This window comes from Homo sapiens, chromosome 14 (assembly GCF_000001405.40).
Source record: "Homo sapiens chromosome 14, GRCh38.p14 Primary Assembly".
NCBI classification, from domain to species: Eukaryota; Metazoa; Chordata; class Mammalia; order Primates; family Hominidae; genus Homo; species Homo sapiens.
Window position 1 is genome coordinate 78918120 of NC_000014.9, and position 25187 is coordinate 78943306.

General features: G+C 38.4%; 1 protein-coding gene across 52 annotated transcripts in view, besides 1 other annotated feature; it reads left to right on the plus strand.

Moving 5' to 3' along the window:
* The window catches only part of NRXN3 (neurexin 3), a 1697919-nt gene that overhangs the window by 747747 nt on the left and 924985 nt on the right, over positions 1-25187 (plus strand). The gene's annotated exons all lie outside the window — the stretch shown is intronic.
* Positions 15767-15924: a silencer, noted in NCBI's record as "fragment chr14:79400229-79400386 (GRCh37/hg19 assembly coordinates)". NCBI's record gives its function as "represses an EF-1alpha promoter that drives an FKBP-Casp9 reporter gene in an ReSE screen in K562 erythroleukemia cells {active_cell/tissue: K562}" and the evidence as "EXISTENCE:reporter gene assay evidence [ECO:0000049][PMID:32094911]".

Here is a 25187-nt window from a genome sequence, read left to right on the forward strand (position 1 = left end):
TACTAAAAATACAAAATTAGCCGGGCGTGGTGGCGCATGCCCGTAATCCCAGCTATTCAGGAGGCTGAGGCGGGAGAATCGCTTGAACCTGGGAGGCAGAGGTTGCAGTAGGCCGAGATCACGCCATTGCACTCCAGCGTGGGCAACAAGAGCGAAACTCCATCTCAAAAAAAAAAAAAAAAAAAAAAGAGAGAGAGAGAGAAAAGAAATATCTGTGTTAGGAAAAAAGCTAGGAAAAGCTAAATTCTGGTCATTTCATAATAAAACGAATAATGAAACAAACAGAAAAATATTTTATGTGGAAGAACAGAACAGAGACCTTGGGCAGAAGTAACCATGACACGTTGGGGTTTGTATAAGTAATAAACGCTGAGATATATGCCTTAAACTTTAGACTGTCTGAGATCAGTTTAAGGCAAAGATAGAATATTATGACTAAAGAGCGTAAAATGAACTGCTGAGCATGCAAGTACCATAAAAAGGCCCTTCCTTCAGAATTGAGCTGATCCATATTTTTTCTCTTGATTTCATTTTCTACTTAGGAACTCAGTTCTTGACAGGCCACATATACAATGAATGTCCCAAAGATTGCAATACTGTATTTTTACTGTATATTTTTTATGTGTAGGTACACAAATATTTACTATTGTGTAACAGTTGCCTGCAGTATTCAGTACAATCACAAGCTGCACAGGTTTGTAGCCTAGGAGCATACCATATAGTTCAGGTGTGTAGAGGTTACACCATCCAGGTTTGTGTAAGTATGCTCTATAATGTTCACACAAAGATGAAATCACCCAATGATGCATTTCTTAGAATATTTCCTCATCGTTACGTGAAGCATGACTATGTAAGCATTGAGAATATGAATACACATGATTTCCACCAAGAGAAAGCATGTGATCCCAAATATAATTGGTAAACTAGTATTAAAATTTTTTATATGTCTTTCTCAATATCTGTTATATGAGACACACTTGTTTCACATAGAACAGATGAACTATTTGTTTTCCATCACTAGAATATTTTTCTTCTAAAACTTTTGACCTATTTGGGATTGAAATAAATGACTTCTAAATTTCCATCCATTGCTAATATCTGTAATTCTGTGTATTACAGATAATTGGCTAATTACCTGAGTATGGTGTTGCTTTTTTCAATTTATAACAGTTTAGACCTTTTAGGATACAGTTGTTGAAATATGGCACCAAAACACTAAGCATCTTATATTGATCGTGTGTCAATTTACCTAACCTTGGCAATTATTTTCAATATCTATTTTCCAAGGAAAGAAATGAGTAGTTATTATCAAATTACACAAGTGGAGAAGAATTGGAGTTTAGGTAAATATTTTGTTCTAAAATATCAAATGGTCATTTAAGCTGAATTGGGATAAAACAACCCCTATGAATTTTGCTGGATGGACACCATAAATGACAGCAACCCTGTTCTTCTGTTTTCATCATAGTCAAAAAATGCTTTAGAGTTTACTACTTCTACATATCTCATTTAGTTTTCATAATGGAGATTTTCTAATGCATGTTTTATAGATGAGCAAACAAATTGAAGATGTTAAGTGACTTGTTCAAAGTCATATATGTGAACACATATTGAACATAACTTATTTGGCCTTATTACTATAATGGTCATTAGAATATCTTTAAAAATATAATTTTTTAATCAATTGACATTACACAATTTTTATTTGAAGCTTTCAAAATTAACAGTAATAATGTTATTTTATTAAGCACTTATTATATTTCAGTCACAGTGCTAAGCACGTCACAGTCATCATCTAATTTACTCAATCTGAAGGTATGCCATTCTCTGAAAATGGCAATATACGCTTACAATTATTTGTAGCATAGCATTCTACACTAAAAAGATGAAATAAAGAAGTTGAAATTTTCTTTATCAATTAGGATAGCTAATGATCTTCTGTGGCAACAATCAGCATGTCTTACAGCTTAAAACAACAACGTTTACTTCTCATCCACCTTACATCCTATCTTTGGTGTACCTGGAGCTCTGTCTCATGTCGTCCCCACTCAGAGACTCACGCTGATGGAGCAGCCACAATCTAGAGCCTGGCCTGCCACAGTGGTAGAGGAAAAGACAGACTGGTGAACTGTGCAGTGATCCCTAACACTTCTGCCCAGAGGTGATGCCAGTCACCTTGATCGAAGCAAGTCAATGGCTACATCAAATATCAAAAAAGTGGGAAGTGAAATCTTAAAACACCCCGGAAAATACTGGAAATTTTTATTTTAGTTTTACTTGAAAAAAGTATAAATTTTGATTTTCTGTATTAAATCACTTATTCAAACAATGATTTATTCAACAGAAAGCATTGAACACTGTATTTCTTTTCTGACAACCACTTCTCCAATTCTCTGACACCAACTGGGTGCCCAACAATTTTATTCAATTCTGATACTACCTGGAGTTAGCACAGATCCCCCAGGTTAAGGACTCAGTCTCACAAGACTTCTGCTACTCTAGACACCAGACACTGTACATGGAGTGCTCGGGCTACCCACAGTTTTGTGCAGCTGACCACAAATTGGGGGTTCTCATGACCCCCTCCACCCCTCAGTTTCCATAATTCAGTAGAGCCACTCACAGAACCACGACATGTTCTTTATTTGCAATTATTGGTTTATTATAAAGGATTCAACTTAGGAACAGCCAAATTGAAGAGATGTATTGGACAAAACATGAGGAAGAGGACCCAGAGCATAGATGCCCTCTCCTGGCACACTGCCCTGCCAGCATGATGATATGTTCACCAATCTGGAAGATCCTCAAACCCCATCTTTTAGAGTTTTGTGTCCAGGATTCATTAAGGTAGACATGATTGATTATACATTGCCCATTGGTGATTGAACTCAATCTCCAGCCCTTCTCTCCAACCCAGATGTCAGGGACGGGGACCTTCAGTTCTGTTCCTCTAATCCAGTAGTTTTTAATGTAATCAGTCCTCATCCTAAAGCAAAAAGCTACCCTTTTCTCCCCCATGAGTTATTTCATTAGGGATCTTAAATAGAAGACTATTCCTTCAGAAGATTTTAGGAGCTTTGTGCCAGGAAGCTGGGAGAAAGATTTTTTTGTTGTTGTTACACTACACACAGCCATATGCTGAGCTTGGTGCAAGGCACGGGGGATACAGTGGTTAATGGAGCAGACACAGTCCTTGTCCTCATGAAACTTCAAGTTAGGCAAACTCATTGAAATGAAGATCAGTCTAGAGAAGTTAGTAAAACTGAAACAAAGATAAATAAAACATGAACTTGATTCACAGAAACACTTACCTCCATATATGAATAACATCAATTAGTAAACTGGGAGGAGGAAGGAGGTGCTGGGTGTGGAATGGACGGGAAAAATGGAGAAGTCAACACTGAATTTCTAATCACCTAAATCACTTTAAGTCTCATCTTTTTGACATGGTGATGGTCAAAGATTGGCACATTATTCTTATCAAAGCACAGGATAGGGTGCTAGGTGGAGGAACCAGGAAAGATTAGTCAGAGAAGATGCCTTGAAATTCTATGTTAGATTGTCATCTAGGTTATACAGCTCATGGACAAAAATACATGCATAAAATGATGCCCACATGGATTAATGGATACATGAAATTTTAAATTCCTAGACAAACATATAAATCAATGAATTATTAAGTTTATACTAGTTGTATATGGGACTATTTGATATTGCTTACTTTGTTCTTTGAATTTTGCATTTAGGAGATTTGTAGTATGAGTTTCTTGCAGAAATCTTAACATTTCCTTAAAAAACCACTTCCCTAAAATAATCCTTGAGGAAACATATTTGTCAGAAATGTTCACATCATATTCCTTTTGTTCTGGTTTATCTCATCCTCCTTGACTTCTCCACATCTCTAAGTAGGAAGTTATTTATTGCTGCTGAAGTTGTAACCCTGGTGATTTCGCTATCAACTTACAAATCACTTCCTTTCCATATGACTACAGCATGTAAGAATGCTGAGGTTTTCTTTTCTCCAAATAAGGCAGAATGCTTCAAGAATATTTTATCGTCCTATATGGATATTCTATACCTTTAGAGTGAACACTTTCCTCTATTAAAACATTAACAGTCATAATGAGATTCAGTCCAACTGGACCGAGCTTGTGAATAAAACAAGATGCTCCAGTCTGTGGTTCAAACATTTTGAACTTCCCAGAATATAATTAGGTATAGAATATAGTTCTTATCTTTCTTTGAGAACTTTTTGAATTATTGTTATAGTTTCTAAAATATCTTTTCTATTTTGAGGGTAAGGTCACAAAACAGAAAAAAATGTGTATCAGAGTATGTTGAATATGGCTGTTTGTCAGATCAAGTTTACGCTGTGTATGGGCCTTCGTCCAATTTAGATGCAGATGGTATAAGGGACTTTGAATATGCTATATTATTATTCAGCTGACTTCTCCAGTAAATAATAGTGTTCTTCAGGAACAGAAAACCAAACGCCACATGTTCTCACTCATAAATGGGAGCTGAACAATGAGAACACATGGACACAGGGAGGGGAACATCACATACACTGGGGCCTGTAGGTGGAGGGGAGCAGGGGGAGGGAGAGCATCAGGATAAATAGCTAATGCATGTGGGGCTTAATACCTAGGTGATGGGTTGATAGGTGCAGCACATCACCATGGCACATGTTTACCTATGTAACAAACCTGCATGTCCTGTACATGTATCCCAGACCCCAAAATAAAATTAAAAAAATAATAATAGTGTTCTTTAGCGTCTTTCATGTGAATGGAAGTTTTGCAGACATTGTCACAGCAGCATTTTTTCCCGTGGGTTTCCACTAAGTGGTGCCTTCGCCTTGGGGGAAAGGTGTCTCAGTCTTATTCCAGTCTGCTTCATTTACTGTTGATGTGATGATTGCTGCCTATGTAGTATGTGACTTTCTAGGGACAGGCGGTCAGGTTTTTCTGGACCCCTCTTTCTCTGAGGATCTCTTCAAAGGAATAGCCTTTGGCCTTGAGTGCTGCCTCGAGCCCACAAGCACCTTCTCATGGTTGAGCACACCCTATTGCTTGACTCAGTGAAATACATTGAATATCCTGCCAACACTTTTTGTTGTACATCTCTTTGCCCTCAGGCTAGCTACAGAAAGAAAAAGAGAGAGAGAATACATTTTTACATTTCCTGTTCTTCATGTTGAATGAGGCAGTTTATCTTCTGAACAGCTGCTTTGAAGGTTTGAGTATGTTCGATGCACTAAACATAACAGCATAGAAATGAAAAAAGGAGGTTGGCAAACTACCTTCTTATCTTCTTTTAAGGCTTTTGAAGGATTTAAGTTGTTTCACCTTTTAGTGGCATCACAGAGAGGTTGAGATTTCACTTAGAGAGAATGGCTTTGATGTGCTATTTTGTATATTAGTGAACAGGTTCACAAAGATGCCATTCTCTAATCAATGCTCCTGCTCCCACAAGACAGAAGAGAATTGAGGAATTAAGGAAATGCCAAGAGGTAGAACATCCAGTATCTTTGGTGGAGATCTTGCTTTGCTATGTTTCCTTCCTTCAAGTTATTTGATCTGTGCGTGTGCCTGAGCATTTATTGTACAACAGATACTGTGCTAAGGCTTTTATAAGCTTTGTATTGCTTAATGTTCATGGCAGCCTTGGGAAGAAGGTACTGTTAGAGTAGGAATGCTACTATAATCTTCCAACTGGGTTGACATTAATTCCTTAACCTGCTCTTTTTGACTTTTCTTCTTCAACCCATTGATAATCTAATTGTCCTATATTTCTGTAAGGTTATTCTAAGGTATTTTTTGAGATTCCTTATTAAGACCATTAATACGGCTGGGCATGGTGGCTCATGCCTATAATCCCAGCACTTTGGGAGGCTGAGGCGGGTGGATCACCTGAGGCCAGGAGTTCGAGACCAGCCTGACCAATATGGTGAAACACCATCTCTACCAAATACAAAAAATTAGCAGGGCGTGGTGGCACACGCCTATAATCCCAGCTACTTGGGAGGCTGAGGCAGGAGAATCACTTGAACCCTGGAGGTGGAGGTTGCAGTGAGCCGAGATCGTGCCATTGCACTCCAGCCTGGGCACTCTGTCTCAAAAAACAAACAAACAAAAAAACTTTAATACGTGTGAGTATAGTAGTGAACAATTATTATGGGCTTAGTAAGTGCCAGGTTTTATCTTAAGTAGTTTATGTGCAAACCCGATAACACCCAAACAACCATGTAAAATAGATATCATAAGCCCTATTGTATTTTAAATGAAGAAGAGATGATAAGAGACATCCCTAAGCTCCCACTGACATAAAATACAGACACCAGGATTTGAACTGGGCCCATCTTACTACAGAGCCTCAGGATTTAACCCCCACTCTTCCAGTTTTCTTCATGGCCTATTGTCAGAGTAGAAACATTATTTCTATTCTGAACATGGGCTGTGCTCAATAAATTATTGCTTCATCTCCTTGATGATAACAAACCATTGCCTTTCTTAAAAGTCTTTTCTAAAAAATTTTAGCCTAGTAATTTCAAAAAAAAGTAAAGCAGTAAAATACGTCATCCTGTAAAGTCTAAAGATTTGAAATTTAAAAGTTTTCAGGCTAGAGAACAGAACTTGATGTAATTTCTAGAAGTGAAATAACTCTTGTTAAAATCAGATGCTGCTGGTACGCAATCCAAAAGGGATTGTTTAGACCCTAGAAGCTTCAAATAAATTGAGTCTCAGAAATAGGGGGGAATTGAGTCACACAGTTCTGATTGTTTTTGTCAACCTACTGAAGAGGAACAGGAGCACCCTTCCGAAAGAGTTCAGAGCTGAGTGTGAGTATTCACAAGCAAGAACCTCTGGCACATCTTCATCTTTATAATTCCAATAGCAATGGCAAACAAGAAGACTCAATGTTTAACTTCAGATTTCATTAGACGGAGAGCCGTGTTTACAATCAGCTGACTCATTTGAGCGTTCTGACAAGCTCTCAATCCTATCTGGATCTGTTAGGTTGTCTTTTAAAAGAGGAAATATTTCAACAGAGATAATATTCCTATAAGCTGTGAAAGTCTGTCTAGAAATCAATTGTTAAGCAACCTATAGAGTTTAGAGCAGAAAAAGCTACAAAATGAAGTAAATTTTTATAGTGGTTTCTAGTGAGAAACAATGTATGCCCTAGGTGCAGTGGGCCATGGAGAACATTTATTACATTCTTCTTGTATGAACACTGATATACGAAGAAAATAAAAGCTCAGCTTTTGCCTTATAACACTACACTTGCCATGGTACACTTCAAAATTCACACATGCATAGGGAGATTATTTACACATGTGCAAAACTAGGAAAATAAAATAATGTGAAAACATACTAGTTAAATGTGATTGTGCAGCTCTTTTACTTCTATTCTGGATTGGTGTTTTTGCCAAACCCTCCCTATGTCAACACAGGTGACCCCTCTGAAAGGAACGTGCCAATTATAGTTGACAAAGGGGCTTGGTGCACTGAATCTTGAGAAATGATCTTGAATGACCTCCAGGATTTAAATATAGTTATTGAAAGGGGCCGAACCAATGAGATGATTCACAGCTTCCGCATGGAGCCATCTCTATATGCTAAGTACGAGGCCAGTCCTCATAAAAACCCGCCAAGGAGGGCAGTAGCACCATTGTTACCAGCACAGACTCCTCCCTTTCCTAGCTGTGTGACCTTAAGGAGAAATATACACTCCAGAAATCTGCTGCTTCTTCTCTGAAAAGGGCACAACAATAGTCGCCCATTGTAGAGAGGATTAATGGGATAATTATATTATGTAAAACTCACTGAAGTATTTTGTTTACATAGGGACTATTCAATAAACATAAAAATTATAATTATTACAGTTGTTATAATTCCCCTTTTACAGCTGAGGAAACTCCCAAGACCACAGAATAAGTGGAAAAGTTGAAATTGGAACCTACCTCTTTTTGACTCCAAATGAAGTGTTCTTTTTAATAGGTACAGTAGTTCCCACCTATTCATGAGAGATACCTTCCAAGACCCCCAGTGGAAGCCTGAAACCACAGCCAGCACCAAACCCTATATACACTGTGTTTTTCCTACATATACCTATGATAAAGTTTAATTTATAAATTAGGCAGAGTAAGAGTTCAACAACAGTAATTAAAAAAATAGAACAACTGTAAAAATAATCCTGTAATGAAAGTTATGTGAATGTGGTCTTTCTCTCTTATATATTTCTGGAATATTCCATTTAATATTTTTGGACTGAAACTGTGGAAAGCAAAACAGTGAATAAATACTGTAATTAGTGTTCATTGATAACATAATTTTGGCCAAGTGCAGTGGCTCACACCTGTAATGCCAGCACTTTGAGAGGCCAAGGTAGGTTCATCACTTGAGCCCAAGAGTTCAAGACCAGCCTGGGCAACATGGTGAAACCTTGTCTCTAAAAATAAAATAAAATACAAAATTATATATATATATATAATGTATATTTATATATAATATATATTTATATATAATATATATATTTATTATATATATAATTATATATTATGTAATATATATAAAATATATATTATATATTATATAATTATATATAATATAAAATATATATTATATATTATATATATATTATATATATTATATATATAAAATATATTATATATTATATATTTATATATATTATATATTATATATAATTTATATAAATATATAATATATTATATATATAATATATATATAATATATAATATATTTATATATATATATAATATATATAATATATATATAATATATAATATATTTATATATATATATAATATATATAATATATATATAATATATAATATATTTTTATATATATATATAATATATATATGCCAAATGTGGTGATGCACTCCTGTAGTCTCAGCTACTCTGGAGGCTGAAGTGGGAGGATCTCTTGAGCCCAGGAGGTTGAGGCTTCAGTGAGTCGTGATTGTGCCACTGCACTCCGGCCTAAGTGTTGGAGTGAGACCCTCAAAAAAAAAAAAAAAGTTTTTTTCAGAATTCCGACTATATGCCAAGCACTCTGTTGGGTGCTGATCAACAAGGTAGACTAAGTCTTTCCTTATGGAGCCCACATTCCAGCTGCCTCTGACAATGCTTTTCCCCATGGCACTCAGAATCCTGATTCCTGAGTCCTACAGAACATTCTGTAACTTGGTAATTCTGAGGCTGCCTTGGGGAACAAGCGTAAGGAGGAGGGTTTCCTCAGAGCAGAAAGGAGGGAATGTTTTTCCTGCAATTAGAGAGTGCAGTGACAGTGGCAACCACAGTAGCCTCATAGAGCACCAGGGATGACAGGGAAGAAAGTGAATGCTGACCTCGGCTGAAACAGCGCTGGCAGCTTCAGCAGATATATTACATGGTACTTACCATTACTTCATACAGTGTTGAGAGTTTTGGCTCTTGAGCAGAATTTCTGGGTCTGTATTTTACCTATGCTGCTCATGCATTTTATGATCCTATGTGGGTTATTTAAGCTTTTTGTGCCTCATCTATAAGATTGAGACCATTATGATATTGATTTCATAGGTACTTTGCAGGCAGGATTACCTATCTGAGAGAAACTTGATTTATTTCTTTGATGCATGCAAACTTAAGCTTGCCAATGCTCATATTTGTGCATTTTTCCCCACACAGGACAGTGCAGTCGTTAAGGCACCATGGTTAGTGTCATCTCTACATGCCTCAGCCTATCTCAAGGTCTCCTTTGGACAGTTTGCAAATGAGTGCCTGCCTGAGTCTCTATATCTGAGGGAGTCCTCTGCCTGGGGGAGCTTATCTGCCCATGCTCAAGACATGAGGGCTAGAATTTGTAGATAAATACAACAGCTTCCTTGTCCCTTGGAGATGATTCTCAGACATATTCCACAATCTCTCAGAGGCTCCCTGGTGGTACCAAATCCCAGTTGTCCACAGCAATAGTGGGGTTGTTAACCAGCTTTCCTCCCTTCTCTGTCTCACTGCCCCACTTCCTCAATTTGCTCTCTGGGATCTTCCCCCAAATAAATGACATGCTCCCAAATCCTTGTCTCAAGGTCTTGTTTTAGGAGGAACCCCAGGCAAAGGTAGTTACAGATTTTAGAGCAGGACTTCCTCCTGCAAATTCTGACTTCATTACTTACAGGGATTTTTTTTTTAATACTTTAAGTTTTAGGGTACATGTGCACAATGTGCAGGTTTGTTACATATGTATACATGTGCCATGTTGGTGTGCCGCACCCAGTAACTCGTCATTTAACATTAGGTATATCTCCTAATTCTATCCCTCCCCCTTACTCCCACCCCACAACAGGCCCTGGTGTGTGATGTTCCCCTTCCTGTGTCCATGTGTTCTCATTGTTCAATTCCAACCTGTGAGTGAGAACATGCGGTGTTTGGTTTTTTGTCCTTGCGATAGTTTGCTCAGAATGATGGTTTCCAGCTTCATCCATGTCCCTACAAAGGACATGAACTCATCCTTTTTTATGGCTGCATAGTATTCCATGGTGTTTGTGTGCCACATTTTCTGAATCCAGTCTATCATTGTTGGACATTTGGGTTGGTTCCAAGTCTTTGCTATTGTGAATTAGTGCCTCAATAAACATACGTGTGCATGTGTCTTTATAGTAGCATGATTTATAATCCTTTGGGTATATACCCAGTAATGGGATTGCTGGGTCAAATGGTATTTTTAGTTCTAGATTGAGGAATTGCCACACTGTCTTCCACAATGGTTGAACTAGTTTACACTCCCACCAACAGTGTAAAAGCATTCCTATCTCTCCACATCCTCTCCAGCATCTGTTATTTCCTGAATTTTTAATGATCTCCATTCTAACTGGTATGAGATGGTATCTCACTGTGGTCTTGATTTGCATTTCTCTGATGCCCAGTGATGACGAGCATTTTTTCATGTGTTTTTTGGCTGCATAAATGTCTTCTTTTGAGAAGTGTCTGTTCATATCCTTCGCCCACTTTTTGAAGTGGTTGTTTGATTTTTTCTTGTAAATTTGTTTAAGTTCTTTGTAGATTCTGGATATTAGCCCTTTATTTAATTTTTATTTTGAGTTCAGGGGTACATGTGCATGTTTTTTATATAGATAAACTTATGTCATGGAGGTTTGTTATACAGATTATTTCATCACCCAATAATTAAGCCTAGTACCCATTAGTTATTTTTCCTGATCCTCTTCCTCCTCCCACCCTCTACCCTCCAAAAGGCCCCAGTGTGTGTTGTTCCCCTCTATTTATTCATATGTTCACATAATTTAGCTCCCACTTATAAGTGAGAACATGCAGTATTCAGTTTTCTGTTCCTGCATTAGTTTGCTAAGGATAATGGCCTCTAGCTCCATCCATGATCCTGTAAAGGACACGATCTCATTCTTTTTTATGGCTGCATAGTATTCCATGGTGCATATGCTTTATCAAGTCTATCGTTAATGGGCATTTGGGTTGATTCCATGACTTTGCTATCGTACAGTGCTTCAGTGAACATACACATGCATGTGTCTTTATAATAGGATGATTTATATTCCTTTGGGTATATATCCAGTAATGGGATTGCTAGATCAAATGGTATTCAGACAAGCAAATGCTAAGGAAATTTGTTACCACAAGACCTTCCTTATAAGGGAAGCATTAAATATGGAGAGAAAAGACCATTATTTACAGTTTTTAAATTAAGGAAATGATTAAACACTTCATTATTTCAATTTTCTCATGTCTAAGGAAGGTATGATGATAAAAGCTACATGATATTTTTTGTGAAGCTTAGCTGAAACAGTACCTGTCAAGTGCTTCTAGACCATTGCAAGTTTTCAATAAATGTTAGCTTTTATTATTATTATTATTAATGTCAGCCTACCTTAAAACTTCTTTAAATAGATGGCATGAACAGCTGTAGATAACTGCAGGGTGTAAAAATTCTGGCAGCTTTTTTTATACCTGTTTAAACTCTTTGAGCTTAACGCTCTTCAAGTTCCCTGCTGGCCTGTAAGTAATAGACCAATGTCAGTGGAGGAGACATGTAGATGTTAAGAATGAACTAAGTTTGTAAGGTAAAAAGCCAGGCTTCCTATATGCCTCAGCAGATGGTCTGATAAGGACGCTGAGAGAGAGTATCATGAAATAGAAGTGAAGTGGATTAACAAGAAAATCCATGTTCCTGGCACACTAAGGTGATAAGTAAATGGTTTTCTGTGGCTTTGCTAAAATTTTGAAAAATTCAGTTAGCAGCACCGTTGCCTAAACATAGTATGGTATGTTAAGAAGGAGGATTCTAACAAGCACTTGTTAAGTGCCTATTGTAATTAAGACAAATATGATTTGGTTTGTGCTCTCAAGTCTGGTGGGAGAGATAGGCATGTAAACAGATGAATTACAGCACGAAGTGCTACTGCTGCACCAAGACAGGCAAATAATTCACTTAAGCTAAGGCAGGGAAGAAAGAAGGAAGGGGATTTTTATATACTTTTATCTGCGCTGAAGGTGGCTTTACAGATGAGGAACCCGAAACTCAAAGAATGTATGTCAATTCATTAAGGCATGCAGCTGCTAAGTGGGGAGCCAGCATTTGAATCAAACTTTCTTTCCCCAAGGTTGTCTCCATCATGCCAGGCTGTAGTGGTGACAGGTGGAAAGGTGTAGTGAGCCATCTTCTAGGTATATCTATCCCTGAGAGCAACAAATCCTGGTGGTTCTCTCTGTATATAGTCACAGAGCTCCAGGGCATGTAGTACTTAGAATTTTGTTTTTGCTCATTGCACAGGAAATGGTATGAAACTGAGGTAATTCATACACACATAATTTGAATATAAAGAAGAAAATGATAGAGGCATCTGGATGACCTGATATTTAATATAGTAAAAGGAAAATGTTTTCCTAAGCAAAATGAGTGGTATACAATGAATAAGTTGTGGTCAGGAACCATGTCCCCAGAGTTTTGGCTTTTATCCTTTCATTGATTCACAACATGAATTTTTTTTTCCTAAATATCCTTCACTAGAAGGCAGAATTAATCAACCTTTGTAATTTAACAGATTATTTGGATACAAAACTAATGATATTTTTATTCAAACATGTCAAGACCTTGGGGATATAGCATGGGATTTGGGGAGCAGGTTGGTTGTTGGGGGCAGTCGTCTAAAGAATCAGTAACATTTGAGTGCCTAAAATATTAATTATTGTCCTACCAGCAATACTGTTCTCTGTCCTTAATGATGAATTAAGAGATTAGAAAATAGTAAAAAAATAAAAACAAGGACATAATTTCCATGCGATAATGATAGGACTTTGTGATATCACATTTAAAAAGTAGGTGACTTTTATGAGAGAGGAAGTGAGGAAAAGAAGCCAGCATTTATTGAATGCTTGCTGCAGGCTTCTGTGCCATGGGTATTAATAGTCCCATTTTACAGATGAGGACCCTGAGAATCATATATTTAGTGTCAAATGCTTTACCTAAAAGGGCAAAAGTATAACTAGAACAAAAGTTCAATGCTTAACTCTGAAAAAATCTGTTCTCTTTGCTACAGACCATGCCATCTTGGTGAAAATATCCCAAAAGATCTGGGGTTGAGTTACAGTGCCAAAGGGGAGAGGAATGTAATATTGCAATTAGATGATGAGAGATTGTCTTAGGAACACTGAAGTACACTGGCAAATTTTGGGAAGCAGAGATAAATTATGTTGCTAAAAGCCAAGGAAGGCTGGGCGCGGTGGCTCACACCTGTAATCCCATTACTTTGAGAGGCCGAGGCAGGTGGATCACCTGAGATCAGGAGTTCGAGACCAGTCCGGCCAACGTGGCAAAACCCTGTCTCTACTACAAAATTAGCTGGGCATGGTGGCAGGCACCCATAATCCCAGCTACTCAGGAGGCTGAGGCAGGAGAATCTCTTGAACCCGGGAGATGGAGGTTGCAGTAAGCCAAGATTGCGCCATTGCACTCCAGCCTGGGAGACAGAGCAAGACTCCATCTCTAAATTAATTAATTAATTAATTAATTTTTTTAAAAAGCCAAGGAAATCATTTGGCTAGAGAGTGTGAGCTTGAGAATTGGATAGAAGTAGGGGAAGTTAGGCTCTGTGGCACTGGGTGGTGGAAAGTCTGCAGTCAGCACTTTGATCAGGTCAAACCCAGTAATATTTTTGAACTCTTATTTTTCTCTGTCAGGTGCCAGCAAGCAAAACTGAGTAAGGAAATAATAGTTTATGGCCTTATATTTTAGTTAGTTTGAGTACCTGTTGACAGGTGGTCCAATTTTTGTGTTTAATTTAGAAGAAATTCTGAAGGATGAGGTTTAATAATCACAATTGAAGTAGTGGATATGGGATCAGAGTCTGATTGCATTGGATACAATATTCCAAGATCACTGAATGATACAACTCCTGCAAAAAGGATGCTATGACAATATAAGCATAAAGCCGCAGGGAAGTGGACAGAGGTCTTAAGGGTTGGAAAAAGGAGTGGGCACATTTGTGAAATGTAGCAGAGCTATGGGATTTGGACTTTGCAATGTACTTGTACAGTAGGACTAAAGCAGACAAGCATAGAATGCATGCCATTAATTCTTAGCCTTGAGGCATACCTTCTCAATAATTAGGAGAATGAAAAGAGGTGTTTTTTATATATCCTTCCACCTTTATATATATTTTTTATTGTTCAATGAAGTAGAACCCTGTATAAAGAGGAGTTCAGGGAATCTATTAAAAATCCAGGGTACCTTCTATGTCCTAGTCAGAGTTCTTGGAGTTGTTGAATTATAAAAATATGACATCCCAACACACACTGTAGGGATCAAAACCTAGGTGTGTGGCAGGAAGATAGCTCATAGGCAATTCCAATATTTGCAGTTGAAATTTGGCATGAAACACTGACAATTTGCATCGTCTGTCCATCCTTCATGAGCTGATGATGCCCAATGCTTGTCTCACATGGCAGGTCTCACTTCGTACTGAAATGATGAAGTTACTTCTCTGCCTCCAACACTAGATTGTGTGTTGCCTGAGGGCAGGAGCAATGTCATCCTTTTTGACTTTCTGGCACTTAAAACAGAATGTGGCTCATAGTTGGAGGTCAGTACATATTTGAATGGAAGAATGCATGAAAATATAAACGTTAGACTCTTCCCTTATGGTTATTGTTTTAGTTTATAAAGTAGATGTAAATATAGCCCAAGATAACATAGCAATTTGGCAATTCTCCATGAATTTTCTGTAATAGAATATTTCAGTAAGCACAGTATACTTCCTGTTTTAACTTTGTGGCTAACTGATCTTTAGTTATTTGACAGATATTTTTCTGGCAGGCAATGCGCTAAACATTGGGGGTTCTCTGCAACTGTTTTTTATTTTAAGTGGTAAAGTTGCTCTTTTAATTCAAATTTGTTTTTTAATTGACTTATAAACTTGTATGTATTTATAGTGTACAACATGATGCTTCGAAGTGTCAATAATCAAATGGTTAAATCTAGCTAATTTAATCATAATTTAAATAGCTAGATCTAACCATTTTGTTATTGACACTTCAAAACACACAAACACACATAATGAAATGGTCAAATCTAGCTAATTAACAAATACATTACCTCACATAGTTATCATCTTTATGGTGAGAACATTTCACATCCACTCTCTGAGCATTTTTGAAAAATACAGTATATCATCATTAACTATAGTCTCTAGACTGTATAATAGATCTCTTGAAATTATTTCTCCTAACTAACTGAAAATATGTATGCCTTGGACCAACATCTCCCCACTCCCCACCCCCAACCACCCCAGCTTCTGGTACCCACCCATCTTCAGCTGTTTGTAAATACCTACGGTTGATGAGGAAATGCATTTGTTGAAATATACTGAAGCCTGTGGATTATTGTAATAATCCTTTTATGCTATCAAAGATTTACTGCTCTTTGAGCTTACCTTAGTTGGGTCTTGTAAATTGAGTGTTATTTGAGAACAGAACACAGGAGGGCACCAGAGGACAAGAAAACGACAACCAAAAAAAAAAAAAAAAAAACCCCAAAACCAAAGCACTGAACTTCTGGCTCTAGAATAGAGACCCTGCTAAATGTATCATCTCTCAGCAGTCCATTTCTATTAAGTCTTATTCTTTAAAGGCCATGAGGTATTTGTAAACACGAGAGCTTTCCAAACTTTCATTAAAGGAAAGTGTCCCTTTCCCAGACAATGCTTCCAGCTCAGTCAGATGCCCAAGCATGACCAGAAGGAGACATGGATGAAGAGAACCCAGGGGGTGTCTTTGCACACATGATGCTCTAAAGCATTTTCAGATCTCCTCTATGGGCCCAGCAAGAGTGCTGTTTCTGAGGAAGAAGGCAGATTGCTGGACGGATTCACAAACCACGGCAGCTCCAACTCTCCTACCGATGCCTTTACTCCAGGTGCCTCAGCCAGTAGCAACAGGTCTCCCTGTTGGTGATACCCAAGGGCACCATTTAAGAAGAAATAAAAAATGATGAGTTCATGTCCTTTGTAGGGACATGGATGAAGCTAGAAACCATCATTCTCAGCAAACTATCACAAGGAGAAAAAACCAAACACTGCATGTTCTCACTCATAGGTGGGAATTGAACAGTGAGAACACATGGACACAGGAAGGGGAACATCACACACTGGGCACTGTTGTGGGGTGGGGGGAGTGGGGAGGGATAGCATTAGGAGATATACCTAATGCTAAATGATGAGTTAATGGGTGCAGCACACCAACATGGCACATGTATACATATGTAACAGACCTACACGTTGTGCACATGTACCCTAAAACTTAAAGTGTAATAATAATAATAATAATAATAATAAAAGAAGAAATAGACAATGGGCTTAAGTGTTCACTCACCTCCTGTGCTTCCCTGGGCCTACGGTTATGGCTCCTAGGCATATGGGAGAGGTTGAGTCAGTCACTGTGGCTTAGAGGCTGCAGTGCCTTATCAATTTCTGGCATTGAATTATGACTAGAATTTGAAAAACATCAAACATGGCTTCCATGACATCATAGTCTCAGCTCAGTATGTCACTGAGAGGTTGTAGTAGTTTGCAGATGACAGTGATCAATGAAAACCCAATTTATTTGACTCAAAGGGCTGTGGATATATGTACGTGAAAATGTATTCTACAGCCCTAACCTGCTGCATCTGGCTCTGGAATTCCAGGTCCACATTTCTGAGTATCTGCTAGTCATTTCCATGTATAGAGCCATCCCTTGGTATCTCCAGGGGACTGGTTCCAGAACTTCAAAGGAACTCAAATTTGAGGATGCTCAAATCCCTGACAAAATGGCATAGTATTTGCATGTAACCTATGCCCACCCTCTCACATACTGTAAAATCATCTCTAGATTACTTGTAATAAATAATACAATGAAAATGCTATGTACACAGTTGTTACTGTTTCGAGAATATTGACAAGGAAAAAGTTCTGCGTGTGTTTAGTACAGAGGCAAGGTTTTGAGAATATTTTAAATCCAGAGCTGGTCGAATCCACAGATGTGGACCCCTCAGATATGAAGGATCATCTGTTTATCCCACCATCTCATACTCAGGATGTTTAAAATAGAGCTAATAGCTGTTTCTTTCTCAAACCCAGCTCTTCTTTTCTTTGTTTCATCTAAATTAAGTAGCAAGACCAAGTTTTCCAGGCTGGAAAAGTGTAAGTGATCCTCAACTTTGTCCCCCCACCTTCCATTCCTATCATTCAGGGGGTCACCTCAACCATCTCTTCTATTTATACCTTTCATTCATTTCACTCTGCTATAGAGCATTTTGAATTCAGGATTTATTTACCTCCTTTCTAAGTAAGTTGAATGGCCTTTCTGTGCTTTTTCTGTTCTGGTCTTCACGTAATCCGCTTCACATTCTTTTTAAATTCACCTTTCCCAAGATTCATCATTGCTTACAGGACAATGTCCAATTCCTTAGCATTACATGCAGTCCATCTATCTTTCCTACCTTAGCTCTCACTTCACAGCTCATAATCCCTCTCCTCCCCAATGTACACAAACACACCCACCTTTCCACTGTGGTTCATCTTCTGGCTATTGGTTATATTTTGCCTTCAATTACCTCTGCTGGATATGGAATAGCATAGAAGTTATGCACATGGGCCCTAGAACTAAACTAGGGGTCTGCAAACTACAATCAGCAGGACAAATATTCCCCACCACCTCTTTTCATAAATAACCATTTATTGGAACTCACCAAGGAACTATGGAGAAACAAGGAAGAATTTCACTATAAAAGACGCCAGAGGAAAAAAGAGTACATATTGTATGGTTACATTTATATAAATCTAAAAAATGCAAACTAATCTCTAGTGACAGAAAACAGAACCCTGGCTGCTAGAGGAGCAGGGAGAGGAAGGGAGTACAAAGAGCCATGAGAAAACTTTTGAGGATAATGTATATGTTGCTTATCTTGATTGTGTTGATGTTTTAATGGGTCTACTCATATATCAAAACTTATAAAATTGTACACCTTAAATATGTGCAGTGTATCATGTGTCCATTATACTTCAATTTAAAAGAAAACATGGAAAACATTCAGCATCCAGTGTCCCCATAGCCTCAGCCACAGTTAGCCCGAAGAGTTGCTTGTGTCTTGATAGAGAGACCACTGAAGTAATTTCCACAGTTCAGGGTTATCATTCCATTGCTAGTTCTAAGAATCTTACCCTTTTCATGCCTTTGGTCTCTCATCAAAGATGTAGGATGGCTGGACTTACTAATCTTCAAGGCACTTTTCAAATTTCTAGAGTCTCTCTGTGGGGCAAAGTGGCTCACGCCTGTAATCCCAGCACTTTGGGAGGCTGAGGTGGGTGGATGACCTGAGATCAGGAGTTGGAAACTAGCCTGGCCAACATAGTGAAACCCCGTCTTTACTAAAAATACAAAAAATTAGCCAGGTGTGGTGGCAGGCACCCGTAATCCCAGCTACTCGGGAGGCTGAGGCAGGAGAATCACTTGAACCCAAGAGGCGTAGGTTGCAGTAAGTCCAGATCGTGCCATTGAAAAAAAAAAAAAAAAAGAAACAAAGAAAAGAAAAGAAAAAGAAAAAAATTTCTAGTCTCTCTGATCTCCATTTAACATGTTCAGTCTACAAGTATTTTGGTGGTACCTAAACTTATTCAGGCAGTATGTCTGTGGTCTATAAATGTACATACCCCACCTTTGCTGTAGTTGATGCCTCTGCTGCTGAAATTTGTTTCTTTTCTAAGTGTTGCATCCCTCTTTGAAACAGCAGGGGCTCACCTGGCAAAACAGTCCTGTAAGCAGTAGTGGAGAAACTTGGCTGCTCACTGTTCCTGTTTTGAGTAAATTACCCTTCTTAATTGAACATTATATGATTTGGCTTCCCAAATTTGTGTTCTTCTTTTCAAAAATCTAACAGTAATAGAGTGTATTTAGTTAGGTTCAAAATCATATTTTTTAAAAAGAAATGCAGGAAAAAATTCAAAGGATGTTTAATGAGAATATGATAGACTTTGAAATGGAAGATATCACCAGGAAATTCTCCATTTCTTAGGACTATATAAGTGACACTGACTTCACACAGTGGTTTTAAGGTTGAGTGTACTGTTACAGGAATATGTAAGCTGCTTAAAACATTTCACAACTCATGGTCAGACAATGTTCCTTTGAGAGGAAAATTCACTGGCGTTTCTCAAAAACCTGACTGCTTAAAATCCAAGTGACCCAATGCTGGCCTTGCTTATTTCTAGGGAAAGTTGCCTTAGCAACCTACTAGCATTAAGTTGCTTAAAGGAATGTGTGTTTAACATTGTTATAAGCCAGAAACAGAGAAAACAGTTAACATTTAGACAAGTGATTATTACTGGCATCCAGGTAGGCTGTTGGAATAACCAGGATATGAGTTGCTAATCGTTCATTTATTAATCTTCATGGAATTAAATACAGAAAGGATGAATACAGAGGAGATCCTGTGCTGGACACATTCTCTGTGTTAGTTCATTTATTCGTCACCATATCCCCTTGATTAAAGTGATGATGAGTCTTTCCATTTTGTAACTTGGAGAGACTGAGGCTGAGAGATGTTTAGATGTTTGTCCAAGGTCACACAGCTAGTACCTGCTGGAGCAGAAATTTGAAGCCATGTCTGGCTCATTCAAAATCCTATGTTCTTTCTCACACCCTGCTGGCTCACTACTTATTGTGAGGCATTTGAATGATCATTCAGCTATTTCCTTTACCTGATGTTTTTAGTTTGCTGGCTTCAGTTTCTTAGAGGCACCCTATTGGGCCACATGAGAGATTATAGAATTATGTTGTGATCATGGTGGGCTATTATCTCTGCAAACTCTCCTGACACCATCAGTGCACCAGGAAGGTTGGATAATCCTACGTGGATGTGGAGAAATCTCAACCTTTTTTTATTTGACATTAGGATTTTTTTTTCCCTCTAGGTGGTGTTTTCACTGACTTTGTGGATTGCAAAAAGTTGAGTTTATTTTAGTTTAACAGTCAAGAATGTGGTTCTTTAGGACATTTTCTCTTTAGTGTGCCTGGAGCTTCTAAATCTTATTTAAACCTTCTTTTTGAAATAGATGTTGCATATCTTTGGCTGTAAGAGGAAGTCAGGACTTGTTCTCTCTGCTTCCAGACCCACTCCCCAGCCATGTAGACTTTATATTTGAAGGTCCAGAGTGATTTTTCTTTTTTTTTTTTTTTTGAGATGGAGTCTCGCTGTCGCCCAGGCTGGAGTGCAGTGGCGCAATCTCGGCTCACTGCAGGCTCCGCCCCCTGGGGTTCACGCCATTCTCCTGCCTCAGCCTCCGGAGTAGCTGGGACTACAGGCGCCCGCCACCTCGCCCGGCTAATTTTTTGTATTTTTAGTAGAGACGGGGTTTCACCGTGTTAGCCAGGATGGTCTCGATCTCCTGACCTCGTGATCCGCCCGCCTCGGCCTCCCAAAGTGCTGGGATTACAGGCGTGAGCCACCGCGCCCGGCCCAGAGTGATTTTTCTAAGGCAATAATCTGACCCTGTCATTCCCAGCAGCATGTAGAAAATCACCTTGACACTCCAGGTACATTCAAGTGGGCTGCCCCAGAGGTCATGGAACAAAAAGCCTCCTAGACCAAGCTAAGATGTGAAATTATAAATTGTTTATTAAATCAATTTAAGGTACACTTTAAGCATAAATCAAGGGGAAAGTGATTGGTTCAATAAACACAGGAGAGTGTGCAAGTGGGATAGAAAGACTACCATATCTCAATCCTTGGTTACACAATGTTCATCTACCTTGGTTCCCTCTCTGCCATATTAGTCTTCCCTGCTGATGAAGTAGTTACAAGAACCAGAGTTGAGATTAAGAAAGGGATACAACAGCTGGGAAACACTGGTCCTGTTACACCATTGCCCTCCTGGGGAGACACAAGGGCAAGTATATCTGGCCATAGCTATCACTTGCCAATTAGCCTGGTGACTAGATATATGTTTTATCTCTATGTATCAACCAGAGCAAATGTGGGGCCAGAATGGGACCAAAATGGATGTCACCAATGGGTTGACCAGTTTAGGGATGAAGGAGTCAACAGAGATTGTCTGAGCTTCATAAATATTTAAGGTTTACTCTGTACTTTCATCCCTTTCTATGGGGAAGTAACTCTCTTATTTCATCCTTTTTATCTTTGTTCAGCACACACGTGCTCTTTTTATTTTCTCTATGTCTCACAGCTCTCAGAGATTATCAATTTGCTCCCTACGCTTTAATCCATTCTATAAGTTCCATCCAACTTTTTGTTGCTTGCTATGACAAAATCGAATAATCTTAAATAATGCAGCAAACACACGTTGCAGCCTGTTTAAGATATTTTAAGAGTTCTTTTTGATCTAGGAGATAAAACACAAAGTTTTCAGTACAGCAGGTTCTTGTAAGCAGGTTCTTAAAATCTCCTCCTGGCTACATCTTTAGACTCATTTCCTACCTCTCATAAAAATGCCCTCCACTACCCTACGACACGGAAGTACTCGACATTTGCTGAACTTGCATGCTCTCTTAATCTCTATACGTGGCAGTTTTTAAAATCTCTTGTCTACCTGGAGCACTAGTTCTGCACATTCATTAAAAAGCATAAGCTTTGCTTTCTCTAACAAGTATTACTTGAACACCACTATCTTCTTAACCCCAAACTCAGACCCAAATGTGCATGTATATATGCACACACACACTCCCAATAGCTTCTCTCTTTCCCTGTGTTCCTTAGGTATAATGCAAAGAACTCATAGTAGTATTAAAGCACTTAAAACATTGTATTACATTTTTATATCACTCTCTACTCCATTAGACTGTAAGTAACTTTGATCCAGGGATCAAAATATATTTCTCCTTTTATCTCCAGCCACTAGTCAATGTCCAGTGTGTTATAAATAAGCAGTAAATATTTGATGAGTTGTTGAGTTAATGAGTAATAACAAATAAATGTTATTGTACAACAAGTTGGCAGATATTTGTTCCTTGAATAGAATGATTTTTATAATTGTCATTTACAAATTCAGTTTAGATGGGATATTTTTCTCTTATTTCTTCCCTTGAACGTTTTCCCCCAACTACCGTGTACTCCCATTACTAGATTTTTTTATAAATCACTTAAATATGTTTTTGTAAATTATTAATAGCAGCAAGTAGTGCTGATCTGTTGGGCACCTAATGTGTATCAAGCTGTGAATTAGAACTTGTCTTCCACTGGTCCCAAGAGAGCTGGATCAGTTCACAACCCTGCATAAATGGTAGCTAGGATTATGATTCAGTAGGAGCATATGTAGCCTCAAGCAGGATAATTAGTTGTAATAAGCACATAACCACATTTTCTCCCTGTTTCTGTGTTAGGGGATGGCAGTCAATTCACACTTTGAATTTCAATGTCCATAAGCTGCATTTAAATACATTCATATAAATGCATGTCAAGTAACTACCATGTCTAGGCCTTGGACTAGATTCTGAAAAAAATAGGCACAATCACTGGCCTCGTGGAGTTCATAGCCAGCATCACCTTAAAATCAATGAGAAGTAGAAAGTCAGGTTATTGAGACCAGGATGATCTACGCTGCATCTAACTGGGGGATATTAAGTTCTCACAGACATTACAAGCTTATCCCAGTCAATATAAGCTCACTGTATAATCAACTACCTCCATATACAAATGTCCCCTCCTCCAGTGGCATGATCTAGGGCTGGCAGGGATTCACCTTTCCTTACCCGTGGTGCTTCTCAAAATTCCCCTGCTGCCTCACCCAGCCACCCCCATTCTCACCCAGTCTAAGTATCAGTTCCAAGAAGCATTTCTAGTTCCTCTACCCCTTTGTTTTCCGCAAACCTTCACATCTGCTCCCTCAGAAGCACCATTGGTTATGGAGGTCTGATCTGAAGTTCTACCCATCACTCACACATTCATCATCCATCCAGAAGGCAGTTTTATATAAACCCAGATAAGCTTGGCTTTGCATCTACTTAGTAGCTATTTACCCTTGGCTGAGATAACTTAACATCCCTGTTTCTTACTGCTGTCATCTGTAAAATGGGATAAAAATGCTTACTTCCCAGTATTCTGGGGATTAAATATTAAGCTCCAGTACAAAGTGTAACAATGACTTTATGCGTCATTATCCCCGCTGGTCTCCCATAGCTGTTCTCTAGCACCCCTGTGCCATCTTTGGGATTGTCGAGTTAGCCCTGAAGTGGCAAGGACCCTATTTCAGTGCTCATATTTAAAAAGCACCACCATCAGCAAAAGGGGTGTAGAGAGGAGGCACCATTTAGAATCTTGGAAAATCTGAAAAAACTTGCTTCTAGGCCAGAGAGTAGAGAGAACTGTGAGATTGTGTGCTAGCCACAGTAGACCAATGTTGGATTGGAGATGATAGGTCGTCTTAATGGAAAGTGTGATGGGGAGCCAATGTGGCACAGTAGCTCAGAGTGTGGGCTCTGGAGCCAACATAAGAAGAGTTACCCTAACAGAATATAGACCACAGAGTTCTTCCCTTCAAGTATGGATTCATCATACATCCTTCAAACCTGCCAAGTACTTCACTTTCTTTCTCTCTACCAACCTGCTTCTTACCAACCTTCTAAAGTCCTGTTCTTGATTCACCCTAGGCTCACCTATAACCTTCAGAAGCCCTGTCTCTGACTCTTAACTCTTCCTGTCTTAACACTGAGCCTCTACTTTCAGCTTTGGGAGCCACAATGAGTGTTTCAGAGCTGAAGAATATCTGGAGCCCATATGTCAGACATGAAAGATTTGGAAAAACAGAAATAAAAAAGTTCCTTGAAGTATTTGAAATGATTTATTCAAGTAGGGTTGGGACCTAAAAATTTGCCAAATATATCATAATGGGGGAGTAGTACCAGGAACGTAGAGAAAGGAAGAGAAAAATTGATCTCATAGAAATAAAACGTAGAACAGAGGATACTAGAGGCTGAAAACAGGAGGGGGAAAATGGGAGACACAGAGAGATTTGATAAAAGACACAAAATTACAGCTAGATAGAAAAAATAAGTGCTAGTGTTCCAGAGAGCTGCAGGATACAACAATATACAGTTTCAAACAGCTAGAAGGAGCATACTACATATTAAATGTTCCCCAAACAACTAATGATAAATATTTGAGATGATGGATATGCTAATCACCCTGATCTGATCAATATATATTATATGTATCAAAACATCACTATGTACCCTGTAAAAATGTACAATTATTTTTCAGTTAAAAAAGGAAAAGAAACAAAAAAATAAATATTCTGAGAAGATGACCTTAAGAGAGATGTTGGAAGAGAGGGAGGGTTGGGAAAATGGGAGATGTCTGAGAAATACCCTAGAGGAAATTTGAAATAGAAAAACAGAGCTGAGGAAAGAAATAAAGATGAATCAAAAATTAAATTGGAGTTATATGATGGTTCAGGGAGCAACACATGTGTAGAGAAGGAAATGAGAGGCTGGAACTTTGGGGAATCCCAGAGTTAAGTAATAGACAGGGGAAGAGGCAGGGAGGGGAGGTTGCTCATGAAAGTTCATACATGTGGGAAAACCATGGACAGCCATGTCACTGAAGATGGGAGTGGCTGCTGAAGCCTAATGGTGATGAAGAAGACTAGAAAATGTTCCTTATGCTTG